General features: G+C 45.3%; 1 protein-coding gene and 1 pseudogene across 2 annotated transcripts in view; both read left to right on the top strand.

Annotated features, from left to right (window-relative positions):
• ATP5PDP1 (ATP synthase peripheral stalk subunit d pseudogene 1) lies at nt 7,846-8,433 on the top strand (annotated as a pseudogene).
• TGM5 (transglutaminase 5) overlaps nt 9,343-13,976 on the top strand; it is a 34,339-nt gene continuing 29,705 nt past the window's right edge. For both annotated transcript variants that reach the window (NM_004245.4, NM_201631.4), the window contains exon 1: nt 9,343-9,431. In NM_004245.4, the coding sequence (NP_004236.1) occupies nt 9,422-9,431 (10 nt within the window). In that variant the 5' untranslated portion in view covers nt 9,343-9,421. The remainder of the gene's footprint in view (nt 9,432-13,976) is intronic.

The raw sequence follows: 13,976 nt of genomic DNA, 5'->3' as shown, positions 1-13,976 counted from the left end.
TTCTCAAGCCACTTATTGCTCCTGGCTGATCCTCTTGGCCTGGCTGCCAGCTCTGTGGCTGAACCCTCCCTTCCCCTCCTGTCCTCTCTCTCCTCCCTTAAGAGCCTCAACCACAAAATAAGCCCACCACCATCCCCTCTAAAGCAGCCTCTCTGGAATTAAGGATCCCAGGTCTCTCCATTTACATTGTCTTAGTGAGCCTGCAGGCAGAGGATGGAGGGAGGCCTGGGGAGGGCGGTTTGGATGTGCCGGGAGGACAGCGACCCTGTGGCAACTGGCCAGAAGCTGCCCAGCAGGACTGTTCTGCCCCCAGCCTAGAGTATCCTGGGAGGCACAGGCAGCCACCTTTCCGCATGCGTTCATTGACAGACAGGATGACTGGGAAGCGCTGCATAGCTGGCTGCTGTCTAGCAACAGCCTCACCTGCTATCCCTGTCCCCGCCTTTGCCTCTCGCTCCCTCACCCTCATCTTGCATTCTTCCCCATCATCCCAACTCTCAGCCTCTCTTCCTTTGTGTGGTATTTGTTTGTTTGTTTGTTTGTTCTTTTAGACAGAGTTTCTCTCCTGTTGCCCAGGCTGGAGTGCAATGGCGTGATCTTGGCTTACTGCAACCTCCACCTCCTGGGTTCAAGCGATTCTCCTGCCTTAGCCTCCCGAGTAGCTGGGATTACAGGCACGCCACCATGCTCGGCTAATTTTTTTGTATTTTTAGTAGAGTCGGGTTTTCCCCATGTTGGCCAGGCTGGTCTCGAACTCCTGACCTCAGGTGATCCGCCTGCTTCGGCCTCCCAAAGTGCTGGGAATATAGGCATAGCCACCACGCCCGGCCTCCTTTGTGTCTTTTGTTTTTGTTATTTTAAGGACAGAGGGAGCCACTCTTTTGTATTTCTTTCTCCTGTGGTTACCAAAATTACTCCTGCTCATTCTAGATGATTTGGAAAGTGGAAAAAAAAAAAAAAAACTAACGAAAGGAAAATCACCAATAGCTCCCCCATCCCAGAGAAAATCCTTGCTAACATTTCTCAAGAGATCATTCTGGCTTTCAGCCTTGGGACTCTGGTGGCTGGACACACCATCCAATTTCCTTTATTTCCCCTTTTATTATGTTGTTGAAAAGTCAGCATTACAAATGGATACATCTCCATCATAGATAATTTAGAAAATTCAGAAACATGGGAAAGGAGAGCATCTTCCTGTCAGTCTGCAGGCACATCCACTCCTCACCTGCTCCGCGGCTCTATAGTTTTGACTTCTTTCAGTCTTCCCTTCCCTTCCCCTCCTCCTCTCCCTCTTTCTCTCCCTCTTCTTCCTCCTCTTCTCCCTTTTCCTCCCTTTTCCTGCTCTCCTTCCTCCTCTTCCCCCTCCCTCTCTTCTCTGTATTTTTTTGTTTGCCCCTAGTCCTCCTTCTCCTTCCCTTCTATTTTCTCTCTCTCTCTCTCCTTTTTTTTTTTTTTTTTTTTTTTTTTTGAGATGGAGTCTGTCACTGTTGCCCGGGCTGGAGTGCAGTGGTGCGATCTCGGCTCACTGCAACCTCCACCTCCCGAGTTCAAGCGATTCTCCTGCCTCAGCTTCCCAAGTAGCTGGAATTACAGTTGCCTGCCACCATGCCCAACTAATTTTATTTTATTTTTTGTATTTTTAGTAGAAACGGGGTTCCACTATGTTGTCCAGGTTGATCTCAAACTCCTGACCTCGTGATCCGCCCTCCTTGGCCTCTCAAAGTGCTGAGATTACCGGCGTGAGCCACTGCACCCGGCCTATTTTCTCTCTTGGGGTGGCCCCCAGCCCTGCCTGCACGCAGCTGCTTGGGTCAGGAAGGGTAGGAGCCTGCATGTCCTCACTCCGCCTCATGTGTCAGCTGCACCCATCCCCATGAGGTACCATTGGGCATTTCCGTGGTGCCCTGTCACTGCCCTGTCATGCTGTGTTCCAGGTGGCTCCCTGCCATCAGGAGAGGGCCACCCGAGCTGCCCTTGCAGGAATGTGAAACCTCGCCTCTCTGCCAAGCACTGAGTCCTCATGTTTAGTCACGGCCCTCCTTTCCTATCCCTGGCTGTGTCACTGGAGAAGAACAGCAGGCAGGCTTCCTACTGGCCTGGGAAAGACCTCTCAGGGGTATGTGGATGTTGGTCATTTCTGCCTTTCCAGCCTACCTTTCAAATTATTTTCCCTGTCCCCAACTAAAAATTGACTTTAAAAATTATTATACTCTGGGCCGAGCATGGTGGCTCACGCCTGTAATCCCAGCACACTGGGAGGCTGAGGCAAGCTGATCACCTGAGGTCAGGAGTTCGAGACCAGCCCAGCCAACATGGTGAAACCCCATCTCTACTAAAAATACAAAAAGTAGCTGGGTGTGGTGGCGGCACCTGTAATCCCAGCTACACGGGAGGCTGAGGCAGGAGAATCTCTTGAACCCAGGAGGCAGGGTTTGCAGTGAGCTGAGATCCCACCAGTGTACTCCAGCCTGGGGAACAAAAGTGAAACTCCATCTCAAAAAGAAAAAAAAAAATTATACTCTGTATCCTCCCCCAACCCCCTCCCCTCCTCCTCCTTCTCCTCCTTCTTCGTTTCACTTAGGCAAGCCTGTCTGGCTTTCTTTTTCCACCTCAGTTGAATAAACTAGATCATCTCAAAGCTCCCTTCCAGCTGGACATCCCCCAGGGCCTGGAACGCTGGAATTCCTTCATGCCCACTGCTATGGTGCCCCCTGAGACCAGCTCCTAAGCAAGCCTCCCCTGGCCTCACAACAACAGAGTAAGGCTGGCCACCCAGGCCAGGCAGTGGCTCCTGCAGACAAACTGTGACAAAAGAAATGTTCCACTGTGGAGCAAGGAAGCAGCACCAGCCAGGCAGCACCCTTGGCTCCTGATTCCTGGTCTTCCCATCCCCCCATGGTGTGCACAGAATCTGTCATCTTCAGGTCCTTGTGGCTGATGGTTTTGGGGTTCACGACATCCAGCATTATTGTGTGATACAAAGCAAAGAGCTCTGGACTCCCTCATGGTGTGACCCTGGTTCCCCCAGGGGTAAAATGATAACATAATAATAGGAGTGTCAGCCTGACTTTCCCTCATAGGGTTGCTGTGAGGATCAAATGAGGCAGTGTATTCTAAAGTGCTTTGCAGCCGGGCACAGTGGCTCACTCTTGTAATCCCAGCGCTTTGGGAGGCCAAGGCAGGAGGATCATCTGAGGTCAGGAGTTAGAGACCAGCCCAGCCAACATGGTGAAACCCCATCTCTACGGAAAATACAAAAAATTAGCCAGGCATGGTGGTGTGCACCTGTAGTCCCAGCTACTCAGGAAGCTGAAGCAGGACAATCGCTTGAACCCGGGAGGTGGAGTTTGCAGTGAGCCAAGATTGTGCCACTGCACTCTAGCCTGGGCGACAGTGAGACTCCATCTCAAAATAATAAATAAATAAATAAATAAAGTATTTGTATATATAAAGTATACATAAATAAGTATGTATATTTATTTTACATAAAAAATATAAAGTATTTGTAAGCTGGAGTCATCACATTATTTAACTTCAAACTATACTACAGGGCAACAATAACCAAAACAGCATGGTACTGGTAGAAAAACAGGCCTATAAACCAATGAAACAGAATAGAAAGCCCAGAAACAAGGCCCCATACCTACAACCATCTGATCTTTGACAACACTGACAAAAACAACCAATGGGGAAAGGACTCCCTATTCAGTATATGGTGCTGGGATAACTGGCTAGCCATATCCAGAAGATTGATACTGGACCCCTTCTTTACACTGTATACAGAAATCAACTCAAGATGGATTAAAGACTTAAATGTAAAACCCAAAACTATAAAAACCCTGGAAGACAATCTAGGCAATATCATCCTAGACATAGTATCAGGCAAAGATTTCATGATGAAGATGCTGAAAGCAATCACAACAAAAGCAAAAATTGACAAATGGGATCTAATTAAACTTAAATGCTTCTGTACAGCAAAAGAAACTATCAACAGAGTAAACAGACAACCTACAGAATGGGAGGAAATATTTGCAAACTATGCATCTGACGAAGATCTAATATCCAGTCTCTATAAGGAACTTAAACAAATTTACAAGAGAAAAACAACCCCATTAAAAAGTGGGCAAAAGACATGAACAGACACTTTTCAAAAGAAGACATACATGTGGCCAACAAGCAAATGAATAAAAGTTCAATATCACTGATCATTAGAAAAATGCAAATCAAAACCACAATGAGATACCATCTTATCTTACACTAGTTAGAATGGCTATTATTAAAAAGTAAAAAACAAACAAACAAACAAAAAACAGATGCTGGCAAGGCTGCAGAGAAAAGGGAACACATATACACTGTTAGTGGGAGTGTAAATTAGTTCAGCCATTGTGGAAAGCAGTATGGTGATTCCTCAAAGAGCTCAAAACAGAACTACCATTTGACCCAGCAATCCCATTACTGGGTATATACCCAGAGGAATATAAATCATTCTATCATAAAGACAAATGCATGCGAATATTCATTGCAGCACTATTCACAATAGCAAAGACATAGAATCAACCTAAATGCCCATCAATGACACATTGGATAAAGAAAATATGGTACATATATACCATGGAATACTATGCATCCATAAAAAAGAATGAGATCATGTCTTTTGCAGGAATGTGGATGGAGCTGGAGCCCATTATCTTTAGCAAACTCACACAGGAACAGAAAACCAAACATCTCATGTTCTCACTTAGAAGTGGTGAGAGCTTATGAACACAAAGAAGGAAACAACAGACACTGGGGTCTACTTGAGGGATGAGGGTCGGAGGAGGGAGAGGAGCAGAAAAAAGAACTATTGGGTGCTAGGCTTAGTATTCAGTGGTGAAATAATCAGTACAACAAACCCCCTTGACATGAGTTTACTTATGTAACAAATCTGCACATGTACCTCCGAACCTGAAATAAAAGTTTAAAAAAAATTTTTTTAATTGAAGTGCTTTGTAAATTGTGAAGTGCACTCACAGAGGCCCTCTACCAGTTTAATCCCTTCTCCAGGGTGACTGTCTCTGTTTCTAGGGGTGAGAAAAGAAGGGGAAAGAGGAATCCATTGGCGTCTGCCAGCTGTGGCTTCCCTGTGCAATCGTCTGTGGGGCACCTCCTCACCCTCCCTCAGACCCAGGCATCCAGCCCGTCACAGCCTCTGATTTTATAGGCAAAGAAACTGTCACCTGCCCAGGGGCACAATGGAAATTCATGGCAGGGCCGGAATCAGCACCCAAGTCTCTCTGGGTCTTAGAAAGGTCTGACCCCATCTGTAAAATTAAAGAAAAAAAGGAAGTTCTGGAGGTTCTCCACCCCCACCTAGTGAGCACTGGCCTGCCCCATGCGGATGGCAGATGTGTCCTCACTTCTCTGTTCAGGTGTCCCTCCCCTGTGGGCACAGCCCTGCTTCCTTCCGGACAGGAAGGTGCTCATCAACCCTGCTTAGCCTCCCTCTCTCTCCCTGTCCCCTCCCCTGTGCTGAGGGACAAGCTGCTCTATCAGAGCTGCCTCCCTCTCCCCAGCACCCTCACCCACATACCCTCTGACTAATGGCTCACAGAAATCGAATGAGGGGCTGAACCTATAAACCAGCTCCCTAGGCCCAGAGCCCAGGTCTTATTCAGCCCTACGGTCCAGGCAGAGGAGCTGGCCAGGGTTTTCCTGACCCTATGAATGGGCTTCGTGCCCCTGCGGTGCTTCCGCCTCCTCTCTTGTCCAGTGGCTACCTTAAACAAGACTTCTCTAAGTGCTCCTGAACATGTGAGGTCTTTTGGGGGAGGCCCAGGCCCTCCACAATGGGTGTGAGTTCCCTGCCCTCTCCTCAAGGTTGGGGCATGGGCAAAGCTGCCAAGAGTTCAGCCACTCAGGCTGGCACAACTCAAGGGACTTTACTCAGAGTGACTGCCTGATTGCTCCAAAATCCTCTCAACTGTTCCCAGATGCTTCAGGCTGGCCTGGGCACCACAAAACAGACTGGTGTCCCGCTGGCCATTGGGCACTTTCTCCTTTGGCCACCACAGTTACCCTAGCTGCACTTACCTTCCTGTTCCCCCTCTCCTGCCTATGCCCCTTACACTCTCCTGCCTATGCCCCTTACAGTCTCCTGCCTATGCTCCTTCCTCCTTCCCAGCTAACCCATCTCAGCATGTGGCAGTGGGTTCAGGTATTCATCCATTTGTTTATGTAGGGACCATCTTTTAATTCATTCACTCTATCGGGCAAGAAATACGAACTGGAAAACCAACTATGTTCCAGATATTGCAGCAAGCAAGCACTTATGAAGCACCCAGGCTCTGGAGTCTGACGGCTGCATTCAAAATCTAGCTCTACCAGTTCTTTGTGAATGATCTATTTAATGTCTTTAAGCCTCGATTTCCTCATCTGTAATGTAGGAACAATAACAGTAACTAACTATAGGGATGTTGTAAGACCAAGTGGGGTCATGCATATAAATACCTCAAAATAGTATATGTTATTAAAAGCTACTGCTGGTTGTATTAGTCGTTCTGCTACTATTAGGCACTGTCATTCTTAAGCACTGGGAACGCTGTTAATAAGACACAGTCCATGCCCTCCAGGGTGATTGGGGGAAAGACAGATAAGTATTTATAATGTTGAGGCATGAGTTGGCTAATAGGAAATACAGAAGAAGCAGCCCCTATTAGAATCCGGGTGCAGCAGAGGAAGGGTGTCAGGAAGACTTCCTGGAGGGGTGATGCTCGAGCCTGGGTACCAGAGAAAGTAGAGTGAGAGGAGGACATTTCAGAAAGAGAGAGGCTGATGCATGCAAGAGAGAGGGAGAGAGGGAGGTGCGGGAGAGAGGAGGTCAGCCTTCCTGGCCTCCAGGTGGGGAGGGGAAGACCCTCAAGGCTTTGAGGGTGATGCTGAGAAGTCTGGACTTTACCCACTGTGGGATCTTAAGCAGGGGAGCAACCTGATGGAATTGGCACTTCAGAAAAATCACTGGTGACTCATTTGGAGAAAGGGTGAATGGGAAACTGGTTAGGAGTTGTCCAGGTAAGCGGGGGCTTCAGTGAAGGCAGAGCAAGGGGGGCACCGTTTCAGGACAGCATCAGGAATTGGGCTGGACTGATGGGCTAAAGGGAGATCAGGAAGCTGGAGAAGTACAAGGTGGCACGCAGGTGTCCCCTGAAGTGATGGATGGACAGTGTCCTCACTCATCAAGACCAGACGTGCAAGAGGAAGGGCAGGTATTTTGAGAGGAAGGAGCAAGGGGAAGAGTTCCATTTGGACTCCTTGGCTGTGAAGTGTCCAAGGTTTCCCCCAGAGGAGCTGTCCAGCAGAGGGTGCCGCAGTACACAGTTCTGGGGGTCCCCAGTGTCACGCGGGAGCCAGTGGAGTGAGAAGAGAGGAGATGGGGACAAATCCCTGGGAGGCACCAGTTCAAGAAGGGAAAGTCTGTGATGGGGACTGAGAGGAAGAGGACAGTGGGGATAAGGAGGCAGCTAGACAACCAAGAGAGAGAAGTCACCTAAGCCCAGGAGGAGTGGACAGTACCCGCAGGGCTGCAGGAGGCCTTGCAGGGTAAGAGCAGGAAAGGCGCCCAGAGCCCAGCCCTCAGAGCTGGGAGGTGAGCGTGGCGTCGAGGCAGCCGTGGGACAGAAGGCAGTCTGCAGCAGGTGAGGGGTGGTGGGAGGCAAAGCAGTGGGCAAGGAGCTTGGCTGAGAAGTGGAGTTGAGAGAAAGGGCAGGGGCTGCTAGGGAAGCTGGGGATGAGAGTTGAAGGTGGATGTGCTGTGTTAAAATAGTGAACTGCATTTGTGCACATATACCCTATAAGAGGTGAGTGGGGTGTGGGCCATGGGCTGCCATGGTCAGTGAAGTATACCAAGATGGCTGGGTGAAAACTTGCTCTAAAAACCATTGACTGGGTAGCTTTTGCAGAGATGATACCCCAAAACCAAAAGGCCATTGCTAATTATCTGAAATCCTGGAATGAGACCCTCACCTCCAGGCTGGCTACTTTACCTGAGAATCCACCAGCTATTGACTGGACTTACTACAAGGCCAATGTGGCCAAGGCAGGCTTGGTGGATGACTTTGAGAAGAAGTTTAATGTCCTGAAGCTTCCTGTACCAGAGGATAAATATACTGCCCAGGTGGATGCTGAAGAAAAAGAAGATGGGAAAACTTGTGCTGAGTGGGTGTCTCTCTCAAAGGCCAGGTTGGAGAATATGAGAAACAGCTGGAGAAGATGAGGAACTTAATACCATTTGATCAGATGACCATTGACGACTTGAACGAAGCTTTCCCGGAAACCAAATTAGACAAGAAAAAGTATCGCTATTGGTCTCACCAACCAATCAAGAATTTATAAAATTAAGTCCAGGAAGAAGCCCTGGCCCTTATAGTACACATTCTGGACATTAAAAATAAAAATAATTACATAGGTTTTAAAAAAGAGCTGAGTGGGGACAGAGAGAATTGAAAATACAGGAGGGAGGACAATGCTGGTGAAAGAGGTTCCCCAGGGAGAAGGACCCAGAAAGCAGGGGATGTGGGGAGAAGTGCCCCAGAGCACAGAAAGACAGGGTAGGCATGGGGGTCCCACCCACTCCACAGGCAGAGCCCTTCCCCCTCCTGCCCTCTCTCTCCTTCCACCTGCGCTTTTCTCCCTATGAAAGGGCTTGTGCCTTTCTTACTAGGATCAAGGCCCTTGCTCACCGGCATTCCCACCCTCTCACCTATTTCCACACCTCCTCCACAAATCTTCCCAATTTTTCTTCCTCTATTTTATTTGTGATTATTTGCTTTTATTTGTGATTTGTCTTGGACCTGCCAGGTCTCATGCAAGACAATGCCACTGCCAAAGCTAAATACAGTGAAATCATACCGAAGGAGATCCAGACAGAGAGGGTTCTGTTTGCATTTAATGTTCAGGAAGTGACTTTTCAGGATAAAAGAGAGGCCTTGGTTACCTAGCAGGGTTCTCGGCTCAATGAGGTGCTTTAAGCTGTGAGCAGAGTCTTGGGACCCTGATGCTCCTTCCAGCAGCCCCCTGCATCCCTCTGGCGGGCCCATCAGCTCGCTTCTCCCTCCTGACTTCTCCACCACAGCACAGCACCTCCCTGGGAATGCCCTATTGCTCAAGAGCTATCAAAGGCCCACACGGCATAAGGCTGTGACAGTTCATCAGCCTCCACACCTCCTTTCAATTCAGCAACACTGCCAAGAAAAACCTGAGGGCAAGTGAGCAAACCAGTTGTGATCTGCTCGGTAATCAGGTGGCAGTGCAGCAGTCCAGCCCCGCCTTCGGTTCTCCTGGAGGCTTCCAATGGAAGGGGAAGTAGACACTCTGGCACCAGTTTGCTGAAGCTCCAGACCGCCCAGCTGTTCTGTGGGGAGCATCCCAGGAACCGGAGGCAGCTACCATGGCCCAAGGTAGGGAAAGCCCCTGTGGCCACTGGAGTTCAGGGATAAGAAGGACAGAGAGAGACTGTAGGAAGTCAAGGGGTGGAGGGTGGATTCAGAGAAATAAAGAAGTAAATACAGAACTGAGGCAGGAAAAGCAAGAATCCCAGAAACCTCAGTATTCATTGGTGGCTTGAGAACCAGGAGACAGCGTAGAGGCAGACAGGTAAACACAGCACACAGCTGCTTGCTAACATGCCTGCCTCCATAGCCAGGTGGGACAGGGCAGGGCCAGAGATGAGGGGGTCAGGGTTTCTGTCCTTCTCTGCTACTAGCTGACCCTTTGACATTGGACAAGTCACTTCGCCTCTAGTTTCCAACCCCCTTGCCTGAAAAAGGAGGGATTGGACCAGACAATCTTGAAATTGTCTTCCAGCTCTTAAGTTCTCTGAATCTTCATATCTTCTCTTCTTCCTCCATTTCAGAAGGTCTATTACTGATCTTAGCTAATCTTCCCATCACCAACCTTCTCTCTATATCATCCCCCTCACTCTGGAAAGAGTTGCTGTGAAGATTAAATCGTTAGTTGAAATCATTTAGAGGAATAAGCTTTCAACTTCCTCTACAACTGTAACAACCTTACCTTTATTTATTACTTTTTGTGTTTAAATTTTTGTTTTAAAATTTTCATAACTTTTAATTGCACAAGAAATATGGGAATACATAGTTGGAGTAAAATAAATAAATAATTATAGATAAAGCTATAGTCCTCTGCCCGCCATCCCCAATGGCAGCCTCATCTCCAGAGTAAACACTGTTACCTGTCTTTTGTCTGCACATTTACACTCAGACATACATTTACTCAATGTAATACATAGGATTAGCATGTGTGGTCTTTTTTGGTATATCCATGGTATCATCATATTGTATGTATATTTCTACAACTTGATTTTTTTCACTCCACAGTATGTCTGGGAGCTCTGTCCATGCCAGTCAGTACCTATAGATCTACCTCAATATTTCTCATAGTATCAGTGCAAGTAATTTCTAATCCTGTCCCCTATTGATGGGCATTTAGGTTGTTTTCAATTTTCCGGTTACACAAGCAATATTGCAAGGAACATACTTATCCATGCCTCTGTGTGCTCACGTGGGAGTGTCTCTCTAGGATAACTACTAAGATCACTTACTTTAAAAGTTCTTTCTACAGTCTTCTGTTTATTTCCTGATCATCTCACCCCATTCTCCTCTCACCTCAAGGAAAACAAATATGCCCAGTAGTCAATGAACCTCCTATTTGAATAGATGGCACCTGGGCTGAAGAGTCATTCCTGTCTTAGGCAGAGATTAACATGGCCCAGGATGTCTCTAGAGGATGGAATTTTGTCCCAGCGCTTGCTGCCAGGCAGATGCTGCCATGCCTGCTGAGTAGCCTGCGTCATGTGCCCAACCTGAACTGTAGCCAGTTAGTGCTGTCTAATAAATTGGTCTCCAAAGGGGGCAAGCTTCTTTTTCCACTGTTAGGTAAAAGCCAAGTGCTTTCTTAGCTGGCAGTGGGTGTGGACATTTTTTTGATCATGAGTGAAAGCCAACAGTGGGCAACAGCTCTTGGGGGTGATGGGAAGAGCACTGGACTGGGCTCAGGAATCCTGGTTTAACCTTAGACGAGATATTTAACCCACCTGAACCTTGATTTTCTCATCTCCAAGTGTGGATGACATGACATTTTGTCCCTGCAAGGATGCGATGAAGATTAAATGAGATAACTGTCCTAGCGTACCTGGCACAGTGCCTGGCACATAGTAGATAGGCCCTCAATAAGATGTTGATTAAATCTGAAATCTGAAATACGTACAGGGTGATTTTGCAAAAGATAGAGAATTCTATTCAACCTAGCAAATCTGAGTACCTACAATATGCTGATCATTATGCTTAATTTCTTTTATAATAATAAAAAACTAGTTTATGAAACAGATGTGTGTTAAAGTAATCAAAAGCACTCAAAGAGATTTAACATAAAGTGTAATACTTATTAGGGTATTTTGGCACAGTCAATTTGGTTCATATTTGTTTATAACAACTTTTATTGAGATATAATTCATATACCATCAAGTTCAGCTTTATAAAGTCCACAATTCAGTGGTTTTTCATATACTCACAAAATTTTGCGAGTATCGCCACTATCTAGTTTCAGAACATTTCATTACCTCAAAAAGAAATCCCATACACATTGGCAGTCACGTCCCATTCCACCTTTCTTTAGCTCCTAGCAAGCCCTAAATCTACTTTCTGTCTCTATGAATTTGCCTATTCTGGACATTTCATATAAATATAATCATATAATATGTGTCTTTTTATGTCTGACTGTTTTCACTTAGCACAATATTTTCAAGGTTCATCCATATTTAGTATGTTCAGCATTCTTTTTTTTTATAGCTGGATGATATTCCTTTGTATATCATTTTGTTTATCTATTCTTCAGTTGATGGACAATTGTGTTGTTTCTACTTTTTGGCTATTATGAATAATACTGCTACCATTTTTCAGGTATTATGTGAACATGTTTTCATTTATCTTGGGTATATACCTGGGGATCGAATTGTTAGGTCCTATGGTAACTCTTTGTTGAATGTCTTGAGGAACTTCCAGACTGTTTTCCAAAGTGCTGCACCATTTTACAACCCCATGAGCAATGTATGAGGATTCCAATTTCTCTGCATTCCCACTAACACTTGTTATTATAGTCATCCTAGGAGATACGAGATGGTATCTCATTTGTGTTTCCCTAGGACTAATGATGTTGAGCATCTTTTCGTGTATTTATTAGCCTTTTGCGTATCTCCTTTGGAGAAATGTGTATTCAGGTCAGTTGCCCATTTTAAATTTGAGTTGTCTCTTTTATTGTAGAGTTATATGAATTTTTTAAAAAGTATTCTGGATATAAGTCCTTTGCCAGATATAGGATTTACAAACATTTCCTAACATTCTATGGCTTTTCTCTTCACTTTCTTGACGATGTTCTTGAAGACAAAAAGTTATTAATTTTGATGAGGTCCAATTCATTTGGTTTTTCTCTCACTGTTTGTACTTCTGCTGTCATATCTGAGAAGCTGTTGCCTAGTCTAAGATCACAAAGACTTACCTCTATGTTTTCTTCCAGGAGTTTCATAGCTTTAGCTTTTATGTTTAGGTCTTTGATCCATTTTGAGTTAATTTTTAATAAATGGTGTGAGTTATGCATCTAACTTCATTCTTTTGCATGTGGATATCCACTTGTCCCAGCACCACTTTTTGAAAAGAGCATTCTTTCCCCCATTGAATTGTCTTGGCACCTTTGTCAAAGATCAATTGACTGTAAATGGGAGTTTTTTGCTAGACTCTCAGTTCTATTCCACTGATCTATATGTCTATCCTTATGCCACTACCACATTGCCTTGATCAAGAAGTGCCACTCCTCTAATTTTGTATTTACTTTTCAATACTGTTTGGCTAGTATGGATCCCTTGTATTTCCATATGAATTTTAGGATCCACTTATCAATTTCTACAAAATGGCTGTTGGGATTTTGTTAGGGATTGTGTTGAATCTGCAGAAAAACTTGTTATCTTAATGATATTGCCTTCCAATCCATGAACCTGGAATGTCTTTTCATTTATTTAGGTCTTCTTTAATTTCTTTCAGTGATGTTTTGTGATATAGGCTTTGCACTTTTGTTAAATTTACTAAGTCATTCTTTTTGATGCTGTTATAAATGGAATTATTTTCTTAATTTTATTTTCAGGTTACTCCTTGCAAATGTATAAAAATACAATTGGTTTTTGTATATTGATATTGTGTCCTGCAACCTTGCTGAATTCATTTATTAATTATATTTTTTGGCGGGTTCCTTGGGATTTTCTATATACAAGATTATGTCACATGTAAATAGAAACAATTTTACTTCTTTCCAATCTGTATGTCTTTGATTTTTTTTCTTTTTGCCTAATAGCCCTAGCTAGAACCTCTAGTAGAATGTTAAATAGATGTGACAACAGGAGACATTCTTGTCTTGTTCCTTATCTTAGCAAGAAAGCATCCAATCTTTTACTATTAAGTATGGTATTGGCTGTGGGCTTTGGAGGGCAGTGGTGCGATCTTGGCTCACTGCAACCTCCACCTCCCAGGTTCAAGCAATTCTCTGCCTCAGCCTCCAGAGTAGCTGGGATTACAGGGGCCCACCACCACGCCCGGCTAACTTTTGTATTTTTAGTAGAGACAGGGTTTCACCATCTTAGCCAGGCTGGTCTTGAACTCCTGACCTTGTGATCCACCCGCCTCGGCCTCCCAAAGTGCTGAAATTATAGGTGTGAGCCACCACGCCCGGCTGGAAGTCCCCTTCTATTCTTAGTTTGTTGAATATTTTTATCATGAAAGAATGTTGGATTCTGTTGAATTCGCTGATTCACTTTGAAAAAGTCTAAATACAACCAAGAAAAAGCAGCTAGGTCTCTGTACTTATTGGCTTATATCTAGAGGCAAAAGACAGACAAAAAAGTAGCTAAGAAAAACATCTGAACACCTCATCCTAATCCTTAC

This window comes from Homo sapiens, chromosome 15 (assembly GCF_000001405.40).
Source record: "Homo sapiens chromosome 15, GRCh38.p14 Primary Assembly".
NCBI classification, from domain to species: Eukaryota; Metazoa; Chordata; class Mammalia; order Primates; family Hominidae; genus Homo; species Homo sapiens.
Note: the sequence above shows the minus strand (reverse complement) of the source record. Positions and strands in the feature narration are given on the sequence as shown.